Source organism: Homo sapiens, chromosome 2 (genome assembly GCF_000001405.40).
Source record: "Homo sapiens chromosome 2, GRCh38.p14 Primary Assembly".
NCBI lineage: Eukaryota > Metazoa > Chordata > Mammalia > Primates > Hominidae > Homo > Homo sapiens.
This window is the reverse complement of record NC_000002.12, coordinates 219,076,553-219,101,462: the sequence shown is the minus strand read 5'-3', so window position 1 is coordinate 219,101,462 and position 24,910 is coordinate 219,076,553. Positions and strand designations below refer to the sequence as shown.

At 42.7% G+C, this 24,910-nt stretch overlaps 1 protein-coding gene across 4 annotated transcripts in view, besides 1 other annotated feature; it reads left to right on the top strand.

Moving 5' to 3' along the window:
- Window positions 1-24,910, top strand: part of NHEJ1 (non-homologous end joining factor 1) — a 91,459-nt gene that overhangs the window by 59,353 nt on the left and 7,196 nt on the right. For 2 of the 4 annotated variants that reach the window (NM_024782.3, NM_001377498.1), the window contains exons 6-7: window positions 23,257-23,374; window positions 24,099-24,217. In NM_024782.3, coding sequence (NP_079058.1) covers window positions 23,257-23,374; window positions 24,099-24,217 — 237 coding nt within the window. Of the gene's footprint in view, window positions 1-6,107; window positions 6,190-23,256; window positions 23,390-24,098; window positions 24,218-24,910 lie in introns of all 4 variants that reach the window. The other 2 variants (NR_165304.1, NM_001377499.1) reach the window with 2 other exon arrangements.
- Window positions 23,380-24,579: an enhancer, noted in NCBI's record as "BRD4-independent group 4 enhancer chr2:219941606-219942805 (GRCh37/hg19 assembly coordinates)". NCBI's record gives its function as "activates an origin of replication core promoter dependent on BRD2, P300/CBP, MED14 and CDK7 cofactors, and independent of BRD4, by STARR-seq in HCT116 cells {active_cell/tissue: HCT116}" and the evidence as "EXISTENCE:reporter gene assay evidence [ECO:0000049][PMID:35650434]".

The window sequence follows — 24,910 nt, the reverse complement described above, 5'->3', positions numbered from 1 at the left end:
TTTCAGCCTGGCAGCTGAGCAAGACCCTGTCACAAAAATAAATAAATAGGCCGGGCGCGGTGGCTCACCCCTGTAATTCCAGCACTTTGGGAGGCCAAGGCAAGCAGATCACCTGAGGTCAGGAGTTTGAGACCAGCCTGGCCAACATGGCAAAATGCCATCTCTACTAAAAATACAAAAATTAGCTAGATGTGGTGGTACGCGCCTGTAATCCCAGCTACTCAGGAGGCTGAGGCACGATAATTGCTTGAACCCGGGAGGCAGAGGTTGCAGTGAGCCAAGATGGTACCACTGCACTCCAGCCTGGGCAACAGAGCAAGACTCCATCCCCAATAAATAAGTAAATAAATAGCCTTGAAAAGATAGCCATGATACACTGTTACCCAAAAAAGGCAAAATGCATAAGAATATATGTAATGTGATCCCATTTGGGATGTTTATACCAAATAGAAAAAAAGTCTGGGAGGATACACATCAAATTGTTCACAGTGGTTTCCTCTGAGGGGGGGATTGGAGTTAAAGAGTAGAAGTCTTTTATTTATATACATCTATAGTGTTTACATTGATTAGTATTTAAAAAATAATTTTGTAAAATGCCCATAGAGGAAGAAATATGAATGGATGAATTTTCCCAGCACCAATTCTTTATCTTGATAGAGTTCTTTGCTACTTCTTAGCTCAGTTGGTTAGCTTCGTGGGTCCAGATTACTTTCCTCAACCCTGTCTGGCTTGGTGGGATTCTTGGTCCCTGTGGGAATCTGCATTCTAATTCTCTTCCAGCGTGTATAAGCACTAGATCAGATTCTCTGTATTCTTAGTCATATTTCATTGCTGCTTTTTTTTTTTTTTTTTTAAAGACAGTCTTATTCTGTCGCCCAGGCTGGAGTTCAGTGGCACAATCTCAGCTCGCTGCAACCTCTGACTCCTGGATTCAAATGATTCTCATGCCTCAGTCTCCCAAGTAGGTGGGATTACAGGTGTGCACTACCATCCCCAGCTATTTTTTTTTTTTTTTGCATTTTAGTAGAGATCGAGTTTTGCCATGTTGGCTAAGCTGGTCTCGAACTCCTGGCCTCAAACAATCCACCTGCCTCAGACTCCCAAAGTGCTGAAATTACAGGTGTGAGCCACCATGCACAGCCAAGTTTCACCATTCTTGAAGGTTTCCTTAGCTCCTGGACCTTCGAAGACCCTGTTCTCACGTCCTGATAGATTTGTATCTGTTTGGTCGACTTCCTCATATTAAAGCTGTTGAAGGTTAGAAAACTATCCTTTTTGTTCTAAACTAGTTCTAGCCTAGGGTTGGTAATTACAGAGTGATTCCTGACTATTGTGTGAATATGTCATGTGCCATGTTCCCAGAAGATTCTTACTTTATGTCCACCTTCTTGCCATAATAACCGAAGGCTTCCTTCTTCTCCTGTATTAAAGATCTGCCTCCACTATACCACCCCTCCCCTCAGTGGACCTCCCACTGGATGCCACCTACCAGTTTCAGAAATACAGCTTGCATTTCCCCATTCTGTCCTCTTTTCCTACCCTTCCCCGGTTTCTGGGCCCTACCATTGTACCTTCTGAAATTCATAGTTTATAATCAGCAAAATCTTCTTTATCTTCAGTCTCTTCCTCGAGCATTACTTTCTCCTTCTTGATGAGAAACCTGGCCTTCCCCTAAAGACTTTTCCCATGTCTTTTCTGCCTTTTCCCATGTCTTTTCTGCCGCACTCTCACACGGTGGCTGTTTCTTCTTTCATAGTCCTCTTACTAGTGAGTATGGAGCTGGGATGCACGTCTTCCTTATTTCTAATTGCTGGTTTCTGACCATGTCTCCTCCCTCTTCTTTAAAAAGCCCAGCTTTGAGTCTGATGCATCTGAACCTATCACCCAGGACTCTTCACTGTTATGAAATGCACTGACTCTGAGTAATTCCTACTCATTTCTTGAGGAGTTTAGCTCCTGACTCACTATTGCCTTCTCCAGTACTTCTCTAATTATGTTGACTCTTGCCCTATCTCATTCAGTGACTTCTCTGGACATACCCTAGAGCAGTGGTTCTCAACAAGGGGAGGTTTTGCCCACAGAGAACATTTGGCAAGGTCCAGAGACATTTTTGGGTCTCATAACTTGAGAAGTGCTACTGGCATCTGGTGTAGTGAGTAGAGTCCAGGGACACTGTTCAACATCCTGTAGTGCACAGGACAGCCCTCCAGCATGAGGAATTGTCCAGCGCAAAGTGGCAGTAGTGCCACTGTTGAGAAGCTCTGTTCTAGAGTCTGCTCTAGGCCTTGTAATCACCAATCATTGCACTTCTCCATATTCTCAGTTTTAAACATGCCACTTTCCGAGCACATCCCCATCCTGTTTTGCCGGCTTTCTTCCTCTACCTTGACTCAACATTCCTTTAATCCTACAGAGAGCTCCAGCCCATTGACCTTACCTTCCTTTTCATTGTCCTGACTCCTGTGATATTCTGCCTCCCTTCCTTACCCAGCATCTATGGTCAATTGTAATCACTCCCTTGCACACACTTCTGATTTTATTGCCCATTTCTTGTGTATAGTTAAACTCAACTTTCTACCTCCTCCATACCTATGCAGTCAAATGTAGTCAGAAAGCAAAACATAAAACCATGCTGACTAGTTTCTTCATTTTATTTATTTATTTAAAAAATTTTTTTAGAGACAGACTCTCGCTGTGTTGCCCAGGCTAGTCTCGAACTTCTGGGCTTAAGCAATCCTCCTACCTCGGCCTCTCAAAGTGGTGGAATTACAGGAGTGAGCCACTGCACCCAGCCTGCCTAGTTTCAATTTAAGTTCTTGACCCTGCCTCTCAAATGCAGCCTTAATGCTGCCAGGCAGTTAAATTTCCCTAAAAAAGAAGAATCAGTCAGAAATGAACTCTTGCAGACTTAAACCATACTTCTACTTCCTACTAACATATGTACCCTCAGACACTGCCTTTCCACCTGTGTGCAAAGATAAAGTAGCCATGCCTCTGTCTAAAGGCTGTCTCTCTATTTGTGCATTAGATTCTATCTCACCTATCAAGGAAATTGCTCTGGTAATTCTCCTCTCCCTAAGTTTTTGTTTTCTATAAGATTGTTATATTAGTATTCAAATGTACTATTATTCTTCCACCTTAAAAATCCTTCTGACACCCCAGTTTGCCCACCAGTTACCACCCTACATCTTCACTCCCCTTCACTACAAAACTCCTTACAAGTGTTGTCTATTTTTACTGTGATCTTACCTTCCTTTTCTTCCAGTTCTGTCTTAAAACCATTTAAATGGGGTTTTGGGTCCCATCACTCCATTGAAATTGTTCTTGAAAAGGTTACTAATGACTTTTTCGTTGCAAAATCCAGTAAATAGTTCTCATCTCTCATCTTATTTGGTCAAACAGCATTTGATAGAGTTGGTCGCCCAGTCCTTCTCGACATACTTTCATTTGGTTTCCAGAGCAATACACTTTCCTGGCTTTATTTTCTGCTTCATCAGTTACTTCTTCACAATCTTCTTTGCTGATCTCTTCTCTTCTGCACTACCTCCAAGGCTCAGTCGTTGGCCCTCTTCTATTCTCTACCCACATTTGCTCTGTTGGTGATCACATTCAGTCTCATGGCTTTAAACATCATCTTTATCCCTGTATCTTCAGCCCAGTTCTTTCTCCCAAACCCCAGACTTGTATATTCAACTACTTGTTCAACATTTCCACCTGGAAGTCTAATAGGTCAAACTCAACATATTCATATTGAACTTCTCATTTCTTCTCCCCTACCCCCAACCCCCACATCAAGCCTGCTCATCCCATAGCCTTCTCCTTGGTTAATGGCAACTTCATCCTTTCAGACTTGCTCAGGTTAAAAATCTTGGAGTTGAGCCAGACATAGCGGAGCACATGGGTAGTCCCAGTTACTTGGAAGGCCAAGATAGGAGGATCTCTTGAGCCCAGGAGTTTGAATCCAGCATGGACAATATAGCAAGATTCTGTGTCTGAAACAAATAAATCTTGGAGTCATGTTTGACTCTTGTCTTTCTCTCATACCCCACATCCAATCCATCAAGAGATTCTATTGGCCCTTCTTTCAAAATAAATACAGAATCTGCCTCTGCTCTAATACCTTGGTCTGAGCCACCATCATTTCTTGCTTAGGGGACTGCAGTTGTCTCTGGGTTTCCATCCTTGTTCTCCTATACAGATGTCCCTTGACTTATGATGGGGTTACATCCTGATAAACCCATCGTAAGTTTAAAATATCATAAGTTGAAAATGTATTGAATACACTTAACCTATAGAACATTATAGCTTAGCCTATCTTAAGCATGCTCAGAACACTTATATTAGCCTTCTGTTGGGCAGAATCATCTAACACAAAGCCTATTTTATAATGAAATGTTGAATATCCCTGAATATCTACTGAATGCATATCACTTTCACACCATTGTAAAGCCAAAAAAATCATAAGCCAGGAACTGTCTATAATCTCTTCTGAACCTGGAAGCTGGAGTGATTCTTTAAAGTTCTCAGTCAGTTCATGCCACTTCCTTGCTCAGAACTCTGCAAGGGATTCCATTTTACTCTAAGTAAAAACAGTTGTCACAGTGGCTCACAAGGCCCCTTCTTACCTGATCCCTATAATCTTTCTGACCTCATCTCTTACCACCTTTGTCTCCCTCACTTCACTCTAGCTACATTGGTCACCTTACTGTTTTGTTTAACACCCTGGGCACACTCCTGTCTTATGCCCTCTGCTCCCAACACTTGTGCCCCAGATATCCATAGGCTAATTCCCATACTGTCAAATCTTTGCTAAATGTCATCTCATCAAAGCCTACCCTGATCACTTTATTTAAAATTGCATCCCACCTTTTCATCCCTACATTCCCAATCCTTCACCCTACTCTTTTTTTCCCCCATTGCATTGAACATTTCCTAACATAACTGTAATATTGATGGTGTTTGACTGCTATAATATAAGCTCCTCAAGGGCAGGGATTTTTGTATGTTCTGTTGACTTTTGTTTCTCAGTAGCCAAGAACAGTACCTGGAACATAGCAGGGCCTCAATAAATACCTGTTGAATTAATACTTGTCTACTTTTAGGCATGATTGCGGAGCAAAAATGACTGAAAATCTGAGTCAATTGAGTAGTAATTTCATATATCTCTACAGCACTTTATGTTTACAGAATCTTTCCCAGGTCATTGCCAACTCTTTTTCTCCTGTGTCCTCAAGTATTCTTCTCCTGAGGGATTAGTCTTGCAAAGTTCTATCAACTTTATACAATAAAAATTCAAAGAATTAAAAAATACGTAAATAGCAAGAGATAGGTCCTCTCACTTTCCTCCTGCCTTGAATTATTTAGAAAGAAGGAAATCTTAGAAAACCATGTATCCTTTCTCCAAGTGGCCCTCTCTAAGTTTGATTCCTTGATTTCTGGGCTTTGATGTTGAGTTTTAGGAAATGTTTCTTGATGATGTAGAATGCTTTGTATCTAGGAGCCCCTTAATATGAGTCTCCACCTCTTTCCCTGAATCTAAATCTTGGTTTATCAAGCCTCTTACCCTTTGCCAGTTTTTTTTTTAAAGCTTCTCTACCTAGGCCCAATTCAGATGTTGTCAAATGGATACATTTATTGCTTCGCCAGCTTTTATCTGGTTTTCTGCTTTCAGTCCTCCTCATTACCTCCTGGAAAATGTTTTGAATTTCCTGTGTACTTTGAAACCTGCCCCTTAGCTCTCTGATTGCATTTATAATAGTACCCATACCCCTCCTCCCTGAACTAGATCCTAGGCTCTTAAGAATTTAATCAAGAAACTAATCCCTGCTATGGATGGTGCTCTCCCCATTGGCTGTGAGCTCTCATCCCTGTGGTAAGGGCTTCCTTGAAGTAGTCCAGGCCTGGCCACAAGAAGTTGGCAGAGGCTAAGGAGTCTTTAACTTAGGTTTCAGTTATATGGGGAATGATATGGGAAGGAGACAGCTATTAAGTGACCATTAGGTTTAAAGCATTGTACAATATCACCCAGAAACACATGCTAAGAACTTGATGGTGAGATCTTTTAACAGTCAGGACTACTACTAACTAAATAATTTATCATCTCTCAGTTAAAAGATATACCCATCAAAACTGGAGACCCGGCATATTGGCCTAGAACTCTACATGCTGCATCGGTCTCTTTTTATCATGGTAAGCTTTTGTTTCCATTGTCTTCCCTGACATACTGTCTCACAGATCTTACAAAAGCCACGTCGGTAGTTAGGCTGAATGGAAGTGGGAAAGGAAGAAAGCTGATTTAGCCAAGTGTTTCCTTAGCCACACCCACTGCCCACCTTCTAGGATGGGACCAATACAGTCTTCCACATACCTTGGTCAGTCTTTTCTTTAGATCCTCCTAGGTGCTCTTCTACTCTGGCTAGTGGCCTTTGGGATGGAGTGGGGTGTTGTTATTACCTGGGGTAAAAATCAGAGGGACTAAAATTCCTCTCCCACCCTCTTCCTCTGTTTTGGTGGTTTGGAGGGTCAAGGCCTTGACAGATAATGTTTTATTATTAGCAGGTGTTCAAGATGCCCTGTAACCAGAGCCTAGATTTGGTCTTTCCTTCATCCCCTCACCTGGAGATGAACCCTGGAGTGCTGTTCTGTTGCGTAGGGTCAGCCTGGTGTCAGGGCTGCCTGTTTGTGCCTCCTAAGTGAGCCTGAGGATAGGGGGTTAGCACACTCAGTGGGAATCCTACACCCACAGCTATAACTTCCTGCAAGGAAGTGGAGAGATTATCAGTTAGGAAATGCTAAATTGAGTAACCAGGGCATTCTCTCCTGCTTAGTGAAACCTAGATCCAAAAGAGTGTGAGATGTACTACACCTAGAAATGATCTGGGCATTTTAGAGTACCTGGACTATAGCCAGGAGTGAGGACAGGGATGAAGAGATTCTGAACCGGGGAACTAGAAGTCTCAGGAAGTAGCTCTTAGCCTCAAGCCTGATCATATCCATTTAGGAAAACTTCTTCCAAATCAAGCCTATCTTGACTCCTCTGCAGATTCGTACTTCTCTCTTTTTCCAGTCCCCTTCTCCCAGCACCCAGCCACAACCTCCGCTTCCACAGTACTGCCAGACTCCTGCTCTGAGTGGGAGGTCTGAATTGAAGTATATCTTAATTTCCAGTTCTTTTTTTCTCCCTACCCTCCATCTTTTTCTGGGATCTTTTTAATGGCTAGTAAGTCCTGCTTAATTTTCCCCAGGCACTGGATGTTAGGGTCATCCTAACATTTTAGATCAGATCAGATCCCTCCATCACCACCCCAGCCATGGGTTAGGCAGGTACCCTGTTGAGAATGAGTCTTTTAAGTTAAACTGGTGGCCGATAACTCAAGCCTAGCAGTTGACCTTCTGTCCCTTCGACTTCCTCACCTCAAAACCTGCCAGTCTTGATTTCCTGGAAAGTGACTTTGTATCCAGAACTTACTAATTTTTCTCTAGAGCCTCTCCTCAGAATCCTTGCCCATCTTTAAACTTGGAGTCTAGTGGGACCAGGCATTGACACAGGCTGGAGATTTCCTCCACACACGTTCCGTGCTTGGACTTCAGTAGTCACTGCTGATGTTGTGTTAAGTAATTTCATTTTCCATTTGTGTGTTTGGTTTGATTTGGTTTCACTGTGTCTTTTTAAAATATTTTTACTATAAAATATTTAATACACACAATAGAACATATAATAAAGCAAACACTATATACCCACTATTCAACTGCATTTTTAAACATTTAATTAATAGTAACATTCAGTTCCTTTCCCAGTCACTTCTCCTTTCCTGTTTGCCCTTAGTGGTATTAAAAACAGTGGGAAGAGCAGCTGGAGAGGCCTGGAAGGTCATTCTGTTCCCTTCTCCACAGAAGTGGCCCCAGATCTACATCTGTCTTGTGGGAGTTTAGGCACTGACCATTCTGTGTTCAGGGCACAGTTTATCCCTCTCAATTTTCCCCTGCCAATAATATCAAAAATCTGTTTAAGACACATTTTGCAAGAGGACCTCTGATAGCTTAGGATTCTTCTTCTGGCCATTTATATATCCCTCTTGTCCTTGCCTCCTTAAACCTAAAGATGCACAGTTTCAGATAGTGCCCTGACTTCTTTACTGATTGTTCATCCTGCTCCGTTTCCTCTGGCTCCTACGAGTTCACTGTCTACCTGTTGATTAGTCGCCCTGCCTGCCAGGGTAGCCCTCTATGTAGAGGACAGGTGGCTTTCCCTCCTCCCTAAGGTATTCGACAGTGGTACCTTCTACAGCAGGTTTATGGAAATCAGCAGCTGTGGGCTTTACAGAATCTAGAGTATACGTACCCTGAACCGATTATAAATTAAGGAATTTCTCATCTGGAAGGCTGTTAATATACACACATATACATAGTCTATTACAAACATGTTTCAGTGAGCACTTTTGTTTAAAGTATTATCTCAGCAATTAATTGTAAGGCAGAAAAATCCCCTTAATTAGCTTAAGTAAAAACGGGTTTTACTGAATAGGCACAGGGAGGTCTCTTGGTACCTAATTTCAGATGGCTACCCATGCCTCACAGAAACTGGACAGGCAGCTTCTTTCTCTGGGATCTCAAGATCTCTTATCTCTGCCCCCCACAGCCAATTTGTTTCTACTCCTGCAGACCATTGACTGGCATGTGGCTTTGGCTCCCCTTACTGCTAACTCTGAACTGGCTCTACGTGGTCTTTCTGATTATGCATCCACTGTTACCCAATGAGAGCCTTTACATCTTTACAGCAGGGGTTTTTACCCTGGGTTCGTGAGTTCAGGGTTTCGTGAATGGAATGAGAGGGAAAGTTGCATCTTTATTTCATTAACCTGTAACTGAAATTTAGCATTTCCTTCAATTGTAAATGTAAGCAAAAGACACTGTATATTAGAAGTATCTGTCACCAGTAGAAATCACAGATACTTTCGTATCATTTTATACTGCTGCAGATATCTTGAAATACAGCTTTTGCTGATTACTACTTGAAATTATGGTTATTAGACTCATTGCTAGATCTCATGATTTAATGTGTTAATAAAGAAGCTCATATGTTATAATATTACAGATTAGTTTTAAAATATTTGAATAACATTTCAGTTAATTGGTTTCCTTTGTAATCCTATAATTTTTTTTTTTTTTTGAGGCAGTGTCTCACTCTGTCACTCAGGCTGGAGTGCAGTGACACAATCACAGCTCACTGCAGCCTTGAACTCCCAGGCTCAAGCAATCCTCCCTTCTTAGCCTCTGAGTAGCTGGGACCATAGGCATGTGCCACTCACTACACCTGGCTAAGTTTTCATTTTTTATAGAGACAGAGTCTTACTATGTTGCCCAGGCTGGTCTGCTCTTCTCTCAAAGCAGACTGTACATAGACCTGTATCATAGAACTGAACATATTTTGCTAAACCCACAATCAGTCATTTATTTCTTTGTACCTAGAATAATCTGGCTCAGAGAGGGTGTCAAGTAAAAAGTTCTTGAATGAATAGGTCTGTTTGCTTATGTGGCTTGAAACTTTGTCCCGGATTCTGCTCTCAGGACATTATCTCCTGCTATTAAGCAAAGATTTATTCATTAATTTTATATACACACATACTTCATATATACACACATACTTCATATATACACATACCCTTGTTCATTTAATAACAAATTTAAAGAAGCTTTTTCAACAATCCTTTGAATTTTGTTATCTCCCAGTCCTGGAAAACAGTGTCCCCTTGGCGTTTCCTCAGAGAGTTTGCAGCAGAATATATTTCCTAGAGTCGAATTCAACATTGCTAGACCTCAGGCTAGCTTAGCAGGAAGTAGCCTTTAGGACGAAGTCAGACTCAATGGTAGAGAAGCTTAGACTGTGGGAAGCAGCCATCTGAGAAATTCAGGGCATAGAATTTGAAAGGCGCTGAGGGCTCAGCACTTCCAGTTCAGTCATTTCATCTCTACAGGACTTAGGGAGACTCTTGCCTCCCTATCCCCATGCCCTACCCCACCCTCCACCCCAGCCAATGTGTTTCTTGCCCGATACCGACCATGCTTGCCCTTAGAATGCTGATAGAAATAGCTTTATAAGGAAAGAACTTGCAGAAATGGCTCTGAGGTTATGCTGTTTACCCTAGCTTAAACTCCACAGGAATCTAGGACTGCGGAAAAAAGAACTGAGAAGTCGCCCAAGTTTCAGCTTCTGGCTTTTTGAACTCAGTGAGAGATTGGCAGCCAAAGGCTCCTATCTAACTGGGCTAGTCCTAAGAGAGTCCTCAGCTGGAATTGGGATAAACCTGCATCCCAAAACTTTTTCCACAGATACAGACTGTAAGCTCTATGAGGGCAGTGGCCATGTCTCTACCCCCAAACTGAATTCCCAGCACATACTTCAGTGCCTGGCACATAGTAGATACTTATATTTGCTAGATGAATGGTCCCTGAACTCTAGGGGCTCACAGCCTAATGGGGAAGACAGGAAATGAGTAAATGAATAACTAAAAAGTATAATCACTTGAGGAAAATGAATAGAGTGCTGTAAAAGCACTTCAGATGATATGGTCAGGAGGCCAGAAGAAGTGACATTTAAACTGAGACTTGAAAGATGAGAAGAAACCAGTCACTTGAAGAGGTTGGGGGACACAGATGGCCCCTTAGTAGTAATTCAGAGGAGAAAGTCTTTATGCCTATCTAGATTTTTGTAGGCTATTTGTGGGAAAAGAAGGGCCTACTGTTGATTCACGGTTAGTCTGTTAACTGCTGTCCCCACCCCATGCTGTTCCTTACATATCCAGCTTTGTTTAGTAAGGCCTCAGACCTAGTGCTGTTGACTGGGAATCAAAGGCTCCCGTGTGTGGCTAGAGGTGAGGAACAATTATTTGTTTATGTGTCTCACTCTTCATCTAGACTATGAGCTCCTTGAGGGCAGTGAACCCTGTCTTATCCTTAGGACACAGCATGCTATAGCATATCCTTGGCAATTTTGTTTAATGATTGAATTAATAATAACAGTTAATATTTATTGAGCCCTTCCTATGTGCCAGGCACTATAGGGAGAACTTTACATGCATGATCTCATTTAATCCTCATAATAACTCCATAGTGCAGGCAGTAATATCATTCCCATTCCACAGCTGAAGAAACTAAGGCTTAGAGATGAAGATGAAGTAGTGGATCAGGGATTTGAGTGTAAGCAATTTAACTCCAGAGCCCACACTGTTTTTGCTGGAATAAAGTGATTTTCCCAGTTGCCTTCAAACAGTTGAGAGTGCATGGAACTCTCAAGGGAACAGAATTAATATGTTACCTACGTTGTCTCATTTAACAATCCTTGGACAGCCCTCATTAGTAGGAATTCCTTTACTCATTTCATGGAGAGAAAATTGAGGCTCAAAAAATTAAGTCACTTGGCCAAGATCAAGATCATAAAACAAACATGTAAGTGGTGGACTTATTTTCAAAACCAGGTCTGTCTGACTCTAGATCCTGTGGTCTTTCAACATTCCATGCCACCTCCAGTCTCTCAGCCACTGGTAGGTATCTGCTCCACTGACTGCCTTAAAGTTCTTTAAAAGTTGTCCAAGCCTTTTGGGAGCCTAAGCATCTATTCCTAAAAGAGGAAATAGAGTGGAGAATAGGCAAAAAAGATGGGGAGAATAGAGACTTTATCTATTTTAAAACTTGTTTTTAAAATTAGAGCTATAATCCACATACCATGAAATATACCGAAAAGTATATACCAAAAGTATATACAATTCAGTGGTTTTAGTGTATTCACAAGGTTATGCAACCATAACTACTGTCTAATTCCAGAACATTTTCATCACCCCAAAAATAAATGCCATACCTATTTGCAGTCATTCTCCATTCACCCTGTCTCCTATCCCCTGGAAATCACTACTCTCTGTCTTTATGGATTTGCCTATTCAGCATATTTCATACAAACGGAATCATACAGTATGTGGTCTTTCGTGTCTGGCTTCTTTCACTTAGCATTATGTTCTCAAGGTTCATGTATTAAAGCGAATATCAGTACTTTATTCCTTCTTATGGTAGAACAATATACCATTGTACAGATATACCACATTTTGTTTATCCATTCATCTGTTGGTGGACTTTTGGGTTGTCTCTACTTTTTGGCTCTTATGAATAATGCTATTGTGAACATTTGTGTGCACATTTTTGTGTTAACTATGTTTTCCGTTCTCTTGGGTATGTACCTAGGAGTAGAATTGCTGGGTCATATAGTAACTCTATGCTTAACATTTTTAGTAACTACCTCGCTGTTTTCCATAGTGATTCATCTTTTATTAATAAACTTTTAAAATTGAAGTATAGGCTGGGCGCAATGGCTCATGCCTGTAATCCGAGCACTTTGGGAGGCTGAGGCGGGCGGATCACGAGGTCAGGAGATCGAGACCATCCTGGCTAACACAGTGAAACCCCGTCTCTACTAAAAAATACAAAAAGAAAAAATTAGCCAGGTGTGGTGGTGGGCGCCTGTAGTCCCAGCTACTCGGGAGGCTGAGGCAGGAGAATGGCATGAACCTGGGAGGCGGAGCTTGTGGTGAGCTGAGATCACGCCACCGCACTCCAGCCTGGGTAACAGAGTGAGACTCCGTCTCAAAAAACAAACAAACAAAAAAAAGCTGAAGTATAAAATGCATGTAGGAAAGTGCCCATATCAGAAGTGTACAGCTTGAAGAATTATTACAAAATTAACATAGCTGTGTAACCAGCACCCAAATCAAGAGCTAGAAAATTTCCAGTACTCAAAAGTACCCCCCTGTTATCTACCAATATCTACCACCTCCAAAGGGTAACACCACTACACTATCCTGACTTCTAATATGATCATTAATTTTGCTTGTTTTTGAGCTTCATAGAAATGGAATAATATATACTCTTTTGTGTATGACTTCTTTTACTCAATAAAATGTTAATTTTTTTTTTTTCTTTTCTTGAGACAGGGTCTCACTCTGTTGCCCAGGCTGGCTTGCAGTGGCATGATCAGAGCTCACTGTAGCCTTGAACTCCCGGGCTCAAGCAATCCTCCTGCCTCGGCCTCCCAAAGTGCTGGGATTAGAGGTGTGAGCCACTCACCTGGCCCGAAATATTAATGAAATTCATCTATGTTGCTCTTTGTAGCCATACTTTTAACATTTCACTTCTGTATAATATTTTATTGTAAAGCTATACCACAACTTATTTACCTACTTGTGTTGGGGAAATACATAGAAGTGGAATGGCTAGGTCATAGTTGTGTATATTTTTAGATTTAATAGATACTGCCAAACTGTTTTCCAAAATGACTGTATCAATTTATAACCACACCAGCAGTTTAGGAGAATTCTGGTTGTACTGTGTCTTTGTCAACACTTGATATTATCATCCTTTTTCCTTCTAGCCATTATGATGAATATATAGAGATATCCGGTTGTGGTTTTAATTTTCTCAATGAGATTCTGTACATTTTTATGTAATTATCAGTCATTTAAATATGACTAAGCCTTAGGTATGACTAAGTCTTTTTCTTACTGATTTTTAAGAGTTTTTAATATATTTTGGAAATGAGTTCTTTGTTGGTTATATGTATTGCAAGTATTTTCTCCTACATTATAGCTTGCTTTTTTGCTCTCTTAAGTGTCTCTTTAGATGAACAGAAGTTCTTAATTTTAATCTAGTCCAATTTATCAACCTTTTCCTTTATGGTTTGTGTCCTGTTAAGAAATCTTTACCTCCTCAAGGTCATGAAGATCAGTACCTTATTTTGAGTGTGTGTGGCAGGTGGGGGAGGTGGTGCGTCACCCTATAGAGTACGATTTCTCAGGGCAGAGAAGACACTGTCACCCTCCAGAGAGGCAGGCAGCAGGCGGGATGGGGGCAGGGAGTCCATGAGAACTTGGCTGCTGTGGGCTGTGTTCCCAGCTGTCAAGCGTGTAATCTGGAGTGAAAGAGAATCCTTTTGGTGGTGGAGGTCCTACAGAGAATACTGCAGGGTACTCTAAATCAACTTTGTGCCCTACACACCCAGTTGACTGTCCTCTCTTCGCACCAAGTCAGGGAAAAAAAAAAGGAATCTGCACTCCTGCACAGTGCTAGTAGCACAGGGCAGGGATGAAGAGCTTTCAGAGCCAGACTATCTGCCTTATAGCTGTGATTTTCTTTTTGTTATTAAATCTGATGCTTTTGTTCTTTCCAGTTTCTACCACATTGTTTCACTTCCATTTGGGAAGAGGATGTTGAGGTGGCTGAATTTGAGAGAGGTGCTAAAATAATGTTCAAACTGCTTGTTCCCCTGCTAGGCTGGTCGGAGCCCCTTCCCTGAGCCAGAGCTGACAGGAGCTGCTTGTTCTTCTTAGAGGAGTGGGAGTAGAGAAAAGAAGGAATGAGAGTTGCTCCTACACTTTCTGAGGGGCTCTGAGGATCCGTCCCCCCCAGGAAACCACTTGCGTTCCCCGAGCCCCTCTGCTGCTCGTTAGTTGCCCTCCAGACTAGAAAGCCATGGTTTGTGCTGGGGCTGGGTGGGGCTCCAGGGACAGTTTAGGCTCTGGCCCTCCAAAGGGGAGGGGGTGGTTATAGAGCAAGCAGAGGGTCACAGCTCAGTCTGTACCATTTGCTTGTCACCTTGAGAAGTTCCACCTTGTCTAGCAAAACCTCCTTTCAGAGGCAGCCACCACAAAGGGCTCTTATGAGAGCAGCTGCCCCGCCCCCACCTTCACTTCCACTCCCTTTACCATTATTTTTCTTTGGGGGCAGAGCTGAGGGGCCTTCCTGCTATGACTCTGAGGGGCTGTACTTATTTTAAAAGGAGATTCAAGTCTAGAGACTTCCCATACCAGAGATTCATTTTTCCTATTTTCCACTATACTTGGAGGACACTCAAGGGGTGAAGTAAGGCTTTCCTTTTCTAGAGGGCATTTTGTCTTTTCCCTCTTTCAGCCTCTTGAGCTCTTTGGAGATTTAAGAAGGGAAGTGAGAGCCAGCTTCTAGTACCACTAGACCTCAGAACAGGGACCAACTTCCTTACAGGGGTAGGAGATAGGAGGGAGAAATGGATGTCTCATTGGTAAGAGGCATTATAGTGTAGAGATTCAAGTGTAGGTTCTAGAGTTCAACTTCCTGGGCCTTCTGTTTCCCCATTTTGCTGTGACCTTAGTCAAGTTACTTAATCTCTTCAAGCCTTTGTTTTCTTGTATATAAAATGAGATTGGGCTTCAAGTCATGACAAGTAAATAAGAAAAAAACCCCAAAATAAATAAAATGAGAATGATTTTAGAGCCCAACTGATAGGGTAACAGTGGAGGTTAATTGCAGTAATGTGTCAAAATGCATAGCCTAGTACCTAGCACATAGAAAGCATTTACAAAGTTAATTTTACTAATATTATTCAAGCCTTCTGTTTGGACCTCTTTTTATAGTCTTTCTTCACATCTCCCTCCTCTTCTGACCCTGCAGTCCAGAGAGCTAGCCAGACCTCAGACTGAACCAGAAAAATCTGAATAGTATATGTAGGACCTGGACTTTGTCTCAAACTGTTTTGAACTCTGCACCTATCTTACTCCATTGCATGTCCAGCATCGTGAGAGAGAGGCAGCAAAATTATCTCATTTTGAAGGGAGGCCACAAAGAAAGTGATTCAGTAACTTGACTAGATTGCATACATAGATGTTTGCATATATGACTGTATGGCTGCATCTATTCTCCCATCTTGTTTTAAAAGGTGGCGGGGGTGGGGGTGAGTTGACTATGATTTAATTAATTTGCAAGGTCCCTAAACACAAGATTAAGTTTGGGTTTCTCTGTGTTCTTTTTCCTTATAGCCCAGCACTGAGTGGATGCTCAGGAGCTGGAGGCTAATCATAGAGCATGGCGAGGTCGGCAGCAGCAGGGCAGAATGATCAGGGAAGACCTTGTTGCAGGCACAGACCCAAACAAAGCTAAATCAGACCAAACACAGGGCAGTGTTAGCTCTGTCTTCAGTTTCACATTCGGACCTTCAAGGGCAGTGTGCCTTGTGTATTTAGGGTACTATATTTTCTCCCAGATCACCAAGGTTTCTGATCACTGAACTGATAGAGGGGTATTCTGTGAGGACAAAGAGAGAGACCCCGTATCAGGTTGGATATTGCCTGAAACTCAGAGGTAGCTCATCCAAGTGATGAGCTGTGGAAAATTTGAAATGAGGAGAAAGGAGAATGAAACAGTTGTCTTCTAAAAATATAGATATCACCACCCTATCTCTTTTCTCTGTCCTAGTAGTTTTTTCTCTCAGACTCTGAGGAAACTGTGAAATTAATCCCATCAAAAACCATTTGACTGTTAGCTATTTTTATGGCCTATATCTGCAGGTCATATTTTTGTGTTTTCCAGATAGCCCTTATTGAGTGTATATTACTTAAAAATGGAAATGACATAGCAGAGCATTTGCACAAGCCACATTAGGAAGCAGGAAATGGTGGTGAGAGAGTTCTTGGTTCAAGCATTGCAGGATCAGTTGGGCTGTGCAGAATACTCTTGCTAAAATGTTGTTGGAAGCAAGCTGTTTGTGCTTTGTGTGCTTCTGGAGAGAGTAGCAGCTTTACTCTTCACTGTTATACTTGCCACCCAAAAAAGAGGGTGGAGAGAATGAAGATGAAACCTTGGCTTCTTGGGTAGGTCCTGAAGAATTGGAGAGTAAAGGAGAGCTTTGAGAAGCAGGGGCTATTTTGGGGAGGTAGGAAGACAATACCTACTGAGTAGGCACCCTTTAACATATCATCCCATGGAATCCTTCCATCAGCCTCATCAAAGTAGCTGTTGGTCTCCTCATTTTTCTGGTAAGGGAGCAGAGGCTAAAAGGGGTTAGTAACACACCTGGTAACTGGCAAAGCCAGGATTTAAACCCAGGACCTTCTGATGCAAAAGCCATGCTGCCTCAGTCATTGCTAGAGACCGAGGAGTTGGCTAGTGTGGTGATGGGGGACAGTGAATTACCCACAGGTTACTGGGTAGATTTCTGTGTCTCCCTGATCTGGACCTTGACTGGTCACTGTATTACTAGATAATAGTATGCTTTGGGACGCCAGTGAAGAGAAGTTAATACAGATGCTTCTCAACTTATGATGGGGTCGCATCCCAATAAATCCATCCTAAGTTGAAAATAGCAGAACCAAGCGTGGTGGCTCATGCCTGTAACCCCAGCACTTTGGGAGGCCAAGGCGGGTGGATCACCTGAGGTCAGGAGTTTGAGACCATCCTGGCCAACATGGTGCAGCCCCATCTCTACTAAAAATACAAAAATTAGCCAGGCGTGGTGGCAGGTGCCTGTGGTCCCAGCTACTCAGGAGGCTGAGGCAGGAGAATCGCTTGAACCTGGGAGAGAGAGGTTGCAGTGAGCGGAGACTGTACCACTGCACTCCAGCCTGGGAGACAGAGCAAGACTTAATCTCAAAAAAAAAAAAAAAAAGCAAAGAAAGAAAATATCCTGAGTTGAAAGTGCGTTTTTGACTTATGAGACTATCCAGAGATAGCCCCATCATAGGTCAAGGAGTGTATTGAATGCCTGTCACTTTCACATCATCAGTAAAATAGAAAAATCCTAAGTCAGGAACCATCTGTAATTAGATCAGACCTAGTTTCTCTATGTACTTTATCATTAGGGCACTTCTTGAGTCCACTTAGCACTCATTGGAGTAGGGCCAGGCAAGAGAAGTCTCAATGTGCCTTGCAAAGGGAAGGAACAGACATTTCTTGGGCACTTACTCGATTCTCTCATTTAATCCTTTCACACATTCTGTGATGTAAATGTTGTTAGTCTTGATCCCTCAGTGCCTGACTCCCAATGTCTCTCTCCTTTCCCTCCTCTCTCTCTCAAAATAAACCGTTAAGTATGATGGCTTTCCCACAGTGTCACAGCTAGCAAATAGAAGACCACCTTAGGTACAAATCCACATCTTTGAGACCTTAAGGCCAGAACTTAAAGTGTATTTCTTTTTTTTTTTTCTAGTAATTTTTTTTCTAATTCCTGAATAGCCTTGCTTCTTCCTCTTTGAGTGAGAACCTACTTTGGACTTTCTTTTTTAAACCTTTATACTATCCTCGCATGTTGGGTTCATCTTTCCTTCTGACTCTCAGCCTTTTACTACTGCAGTTGGGTCTGTGTCATGGACCCAGGGCCATTTCAGGTTATCTTTGATTTAGGGATTTCATTTGGATGGTAATAGTACCATTTCACAGAGTATACATTTTAATTAGCTATATATTTGTTGGTGATCTCCCCTCTAGAATGTAAACTTCAAGATGGCAGGGAATTTTATCTCTTTTGTTCACTACCATATTCCCAGCATCTAAATAATCCCAAACACCACAGTAGATGATCAGCAAATATTTGTTAAATATGAATGGATTGGCGAAGGGGGAGTTACATTTCTTGAAGAGTCCTTCTCATTAGAGTCTTCTTCCTAAATTACGTTTCTTGTTCCTTTCTCTTTATTCTGGCAAACCCTCTGGCCATTTGAGACCTTAGAAGAGTTTTCTAATATGCTCTTATTCCTAAGGGAAGCTGATGGTGAACATTGCCATGATTCCCTTTGAATGGAGACCTGGGCTCCCAAGGGAAGGAAGTTTGTATCTAGACCAGCAATGTTTACCACATTGCAAGAGGGAGGAGCGGAATTCTTACTCTTAGGGAAGTCACGTGTTGTGGGCCCTGCCCTTGTGATGTTGTGATGGTCAGTGCGAGGGGCTTGGGGCTGTGCCAGTTTCTGGGGCGGGTGCCAGAACCAAAGACATGCTCAAAGGCTGACTCTGGAGAGCTCCAGTTAGCTCATTTTCCCTTTTTCTTCATTAAACCTGTATCCTCAGACTGTGGGTCCATATTTATAGGGTGAGCAGTAGATCAGATCTAGCCTTTCTTACCCAGGATTCTAGAAGTTTCTTTTCTGAAACAGTCTCAGAGGAAAGGAGGGGTGAGGCAGGGAGGAGAGGCAGATTACGTATTTGTAGTTGAAAATGCTAATTGGAAGCTCTCCAGCAAATCCTGAGAGAGTCTTGGGCTTTCTGGACCACTGGGAGTGAGTTTAGACCCCATGAAGATGAGAGTTACCTCTAAAGAGGGGAGGTTGGACCCTCAGAACCAAGATGGGCTGCAGTAGGGACAAGAAGGGGAAATAAAATGCCCTACAGGGTTTCTGTCACTTTGGTTTGCCTAAAGTTTCTGATATGGCTGTATACCAGGGTCCAAAGTCCCAGTGCATTGGAGATGGGAGAGTAATATAGCTCTTGTGGCTGTTGAAAAAATCACACTACTATGAGTAAGTAATGAGGAAGTACTAAGAGTTTAGGTAAATGTAACAGAGAGTCTAAAAAGGGAAGCCTGGAAGCAGCTCTGGATTCCTCATTGTTCCATCAATACTAGTTTGGAGCCAAGGAAGCTTTGGCAAACAGTTGTAGAGTAGAGAAAGCCACTTTATGAAACAAAAAGAAATTCCCATGGGCATAACCTTAATTCAGAAAATGAAGTCCTTTGCAAACTAGTGAATGTGAACTTAGCCTTCTAGTCTTGCTTCCCATGAGACACATCCACATACCCTGTCTTCACACCTTTATGCTTCACTTACTTCCAGCACATCCAAAGTCTAACTTTGCAAGGCTTGTCTTGATGTCACCACCTCTGATGCTTTTTGCAGAACTCTTGTGTCAAAATTCATCCCTTTCTTCTTCTCTGGTTCCCTATTACCCTTTGTTGAGAATTCTGTTAGAGCAAATCACTTGAAAAACAAAACAACATATGTCTGCCTATCTCCCACATGCAAATATGAACTCTTTGAAGTAGGAACTCTGAGTTACTATCTTTGTATTAACTCAGACCTGTTATGAGGGAAGGATTGATGCATCTGTTTCCCCTGCCTTGAATCCTGTAATGCCTGGCACATAGTAGACTCTCAGTAACTTTTTTGCTTACTAGAATTGATTCTGGGTTAATCAGATGAACACGTTCTACAGGTAGGCTGACCTGACTCTTCTTTCCCTCCCCACTTTGGGCAGTGACCCGCATTGTGGCCGGTACATCGTGCTCCTGGCTCAGTCGCACTTATAGCAGGGGGCACTATTTACTTTACTTACTCCTGACTCCAGCATTCTCCCTTTGATCTCTGCCGCCTGCCCCAGGTAGCCACTACCATTGTCCTGCCCCAGGAGCTAATGTTTCTCTTTCCCAAGCTCCTGCCTCTCCACCTCTCTTCCCTAGTATATTCTGAGAATGAGGCCCAAGGAATCCGTGATAATGGGGAATGGCTAGAATGGGATTAAGAGTATGGTCTCTCAGCCCCCAAGGGGTCCAATCTGGTCCACCTGTCTCCTTTTTATCTGCTCCCTTTTCTTGTCACCTTGGGGAGCTTGTTCCTCAGCCGGATGGCAGGTGATCTGGGATGTGAAGGATTGCAGGTTGTGATCCTGGGAGAAGCTGGATTGCTCTTTTGACCAAAATTCTGCTGTTCAGGGAAGTAAATAGGATAGTAATTATATGTGTGGGCCCTGAAGCCAGACTGCTCGGCCTCTAACCCTGTGCCACCACTTACTAGCTGGGACCATCTCAGCCAAACGGGGTCATGCTAGTGCCTACCATGCTCATTCATTCACACATAGTACTGAGCCTCTACCGTGAGCTCAGGGTTCTTCTAGATGCCAGGGAAATAGTAGTAGAAAACACAAAAATGGTTTAATACATTTTAAGTACTTAGAGCAATGTCTAGCATATATATATATTAGCATATATATATATAAGCATATATATTAGCATATATAAAAGCTTATATATATTAGCATATATATAAGCTTATATATATTAGCATATATATAAGCTTATATATATTAGCATATATATATAAGCGTATATATATAAAAGCATATATATATATATATATTTTTATTTATTTATTTATTTTTTTTTAAGACAGAGTCTTGCTCTGTCGCCCAGGCTGGAGTGCAGTGGCGCAATCTCAGCTCACCGCAAGCTCTGCCTGCCGGGTTCACGCCGTTCTGCTGCCTCAGCCTCCCGAGCAGCTGGGACTACAGGCGCCCACCACCGTGCCCGGCTAATTTTTTGTCTTTTTTAGTAGAGATGCGGTTTCACCGTGGTCTCGTTCTCCTGACGTTGTGATCCGCCCGCCTCGGCCTCCCAAAGTGCTGGGATTACAGGTGTGAGCCACCATGCCCGGCCATGTCTAGCATATATTAAGTATTCGACAATTCTAGCAATATGCTGTTCCTAGGACTTTTCTGAGAATAGTCAGGTGGAATAACTTTGCCAGCAACTGCAGGACCAGATCTCTCTGAGAAGGGGAAGGACAGCGGAAGGGCTTAGATTAGGTTCCACATTTAGACCCAGGTGCAGCATTTCTAGCACTTCGTTTTGAGGTTAAATACTTGAGCTGAGTGAAGGTCGCCCTGAAAAATTGATGAATCTGTTTGATTCCATGGAAAGGGCAGGAGGAAATGACTCTGGACTGCCTCATTCTGCCTAACCCATTTATGTAGACAGCACAGTGCCTACCAAGTCATGTATGAGTGACCCTAAGAGAGGCATCATTTCTTGGGTAGTATGAAGGGAGATGCTAGAGGTCAATATATAAGGAAGGAGGGCAGCTGTTTGCCTCCCCACCATCAGGGCTCTCTGGCTATGGAGGAGAGAACCCTCTTTTGAAGGCGGTGTCTTGGGAGTTAGAGAGCTGAACTCCTGAGAGTGAGGTAGGGTAGAGGTGGTGTGGCCTGATAGTTTACCTTCCCTGTTTCAGTTCATTCCTCAGGGAATGCTGCCAGAGGGCTGTTAGACTCTAGTGTGATTACTGGCTAGAGGCAAAGTTTGGACTCGGGGCTCTGATTCATTGCCTGTGGTTTCCAGTGAAAGTCCAGGCCTGATATAGTCTTTGTGGGGATAGGGTTGGAGTAGAAATGTATGTGACATTTCCTGGTAATCAACAAGGTTTTCAGCTATCCTGACTGGTTCAGCACCTGCTTTCCTGCTTCTCACACTTTCTCTCTTCTATTCTTCTCCCATGAGAGGGCTTTCAGAAATGAATGCCCTTACAGCACAAAAAGGTGCCCTTGACCCAAGGTATGGGCCAATCCAGGATTCTTGGGTTGGTTCTCATGTGAGCTGCTGGCATGGCTGCTCTTGGGGACCTGCTAACTTGGCTGGGAACCATGGTGATTTGCACGCCTAGGGACAGGTGAAATAGTTCTGGGCCCTTTCCAAGATTCCGAAGTGCAGCCAGGTTTGGGACCACTAGACACTCTACTCTTTCATCTCATTTTTATCGCACTTTGTTCAGTCTTCAGCCATTACCTCAACGCAGTTCAGCCAAGTGTATGAAACTACAACTAGGCAAAGTATTTTGCTGTGGATGTAAGTCCACAGTTCATTCTGTAGTGAAGGAAACAGATAAATATAATGTAATCATAGCAGTGTTTCTCAGCCTTTTAAAAATTATCACTTCCCTAAGGAACCTTTTAAGACATTTTTTGCCTAATCACTCCCTATCAGGAAATTTTAATGCCACAGGTATACCAAAAAATCTATTTATGTACTGTGTGTGTGTGTGTGCACGCTTTATACTTTAAAAGAGTCAGTTTTTTTTACCCCTCAAGAACAGTTTTCACTCCCTTGGGGGAATCTCAGCCAGCCCACTGTGAGCATGTGGGTGATAGTAAAGGAGGGTGGGACAGCAGTGGGGAATGGAAAATGGCCGGGGGCCTCAAAAGCTTTGTCAGCTTTGTTTTTCCTGTCTCCTCTGCCTGAACATCACAGCTCCATAATTGTTTCTTGCCTCTCAGTCTGTCATTACCATTTTGCTCTCTCTCCTTTATCCTGAATTTTATCATTTTTCTCTAGTTTATGAATGAATTTAATGAAAATAGTAATTTGTTCAGCTCAGGGAAAATTTAGGGGAAATAATTTCCTAAAATAGCCTTCTAAGAAATCATCCCTTTGGAAAAAGAGCCTAGAAATCTATAGGGTATTCATGGGAAAACATAATAGACCTAAGGATTAGGGGAAATAAGATATACATTTGGAGTTGCCCTTCAGAGGAGATGTCCCAAGAAATCTTTATATTGGTTGCCACCAGGCTTGGATATGGTCGCCCCCTATTGGATCTAACTGCTTTATATTAATTCATTTGGGGTTGATGCCGGTTCTGCATGTGGGGTATTAGATCGCTTCTCTAGCAATACAGTGTAACCAATGACAGTATCTCCTCTCTCTTACAGAAACTGCCAGAGGCATGCAGCATTGGTGATGGAAAGCCCTTTGTCATGAATCTGCAGGATCTGTATATGGCAGTCACCACACAAGAGGTCCAAGTGGGACAGAAGCATCAAGGCGCTGGTGAGCCCTCCAGAGGTACCCGGTCTGTGTGAGGATACAATTAGGATCTAGGTTTATGCTGTCCAATATGATAGTTTTCTAGCCACATATAACTATTTAAGTTTAAATTAATAAAAATGAAATAAAACTAAAAATGCATTTTCTCTTTTGCAGTAGCCACATTTCAAGTGATTAGTAGCCACATGTGGCTGGTGGCTACCAAGTTAATGCAGACACAGAACATTTCCATCATTGCAGAAAGTTCGATTGGGTGGCACTGGTCTAGGTACTTAGAAGGGTTAGCAAAAGAACCAGGAGAAAGATTAGTTTCCCTGGCTGGGCGCAGTGGCTCACACCAGTAACCTCAGGACTTCAGGAGGCCGAGGTGGGAAAGGCCAGGAGTTTGAGACCAGCCTGGACAACACAGCAAAAACCTCATCTCTTTAAAAAAAAAAAAAATTAATCTCCATACCTGAGACATGTGAGGGAATATGTAGAAGAACAGCTGGCTGTTTTGAGTCGAGGAAACTCTCATCCTACCTGCTGAAAGTGGGCCTGGGGAGATCTTCATAGCAGAAACAGGACTTTCTGAAAGTCAGCTGGAAGTTGGACTTGTGGCTACTTCTGTCTGCTTATATATTTGTACCAAACCCTGGCCTTTATCAGAATGCTTGGTGAATGCTAATATCTTCCTGGTAAGAAGAAGGCATTTATCACTATCTTCTCTTGATCTTTCTGATTTCAGGAGATCCTCATACCTCAAACAGTGCTTCCCTGCAAGGAATCGATAGCCAATGTGTAAACCAGCCAGAACAACTGGTCTCCTCAGCCCCAACCCTCTCAGCACCTGAGAAAGAGTCCACGGTGAGTCATGAGCAGCTTCCTGGATGGTGTTCTGAGAGTTGGCACCTATAGCCCCCAAGCCAGTGGTCCCTGGAATTGCTGCTTCATTGGCACTGCCTCAAAAATATTGAGGGATATTTGTGACCAGGCTCCAAATTGTAGGTGTCTAGATGGAGAGTCATGGTCTTGCACATCTTCCCTTGGTGTCCCTTCTCTGTAGGTCTTGTACGAATGATGTGCCTTGACTCCTCTTTCACCTTATCCCACTTCCGGTGATGGCCAGTGATGACCAGTGATAGTCAGCGAGGCTATTCCTTGGGGGAGAAGGGAATCTACATCTCCTGCTTAGGGTCTTATATCGCATTTGCTGTCTGACATAGACTTCAAAATACCTATGTCAGACACTTCCTGAATGCCTCCTCTTTGTAGCTGGGCATGGTGGCTCATGCTTGTTATCACAACCTGTGGGAGGCCAAGGCAGGAGGATCACTTGAAGCCAGGAGTTTAATACCAGCCTGGGCAACCAAGTGAAACCCTATCTTTACAAAAAACAAAATTAGCCAGATATGGCAGCATGTGCCTGTGGTCTCAGCTACTTTGGAGGCTGAGACAGGCGGATTGCTCGAGCCCAGGAGTTCAAGGCTGCAGTGAGCTCTGATTGTGCCCATGTACTCCAGCCTGGGTGGAAAAAAAAAAAAAAAAAAAAAAAGGCCT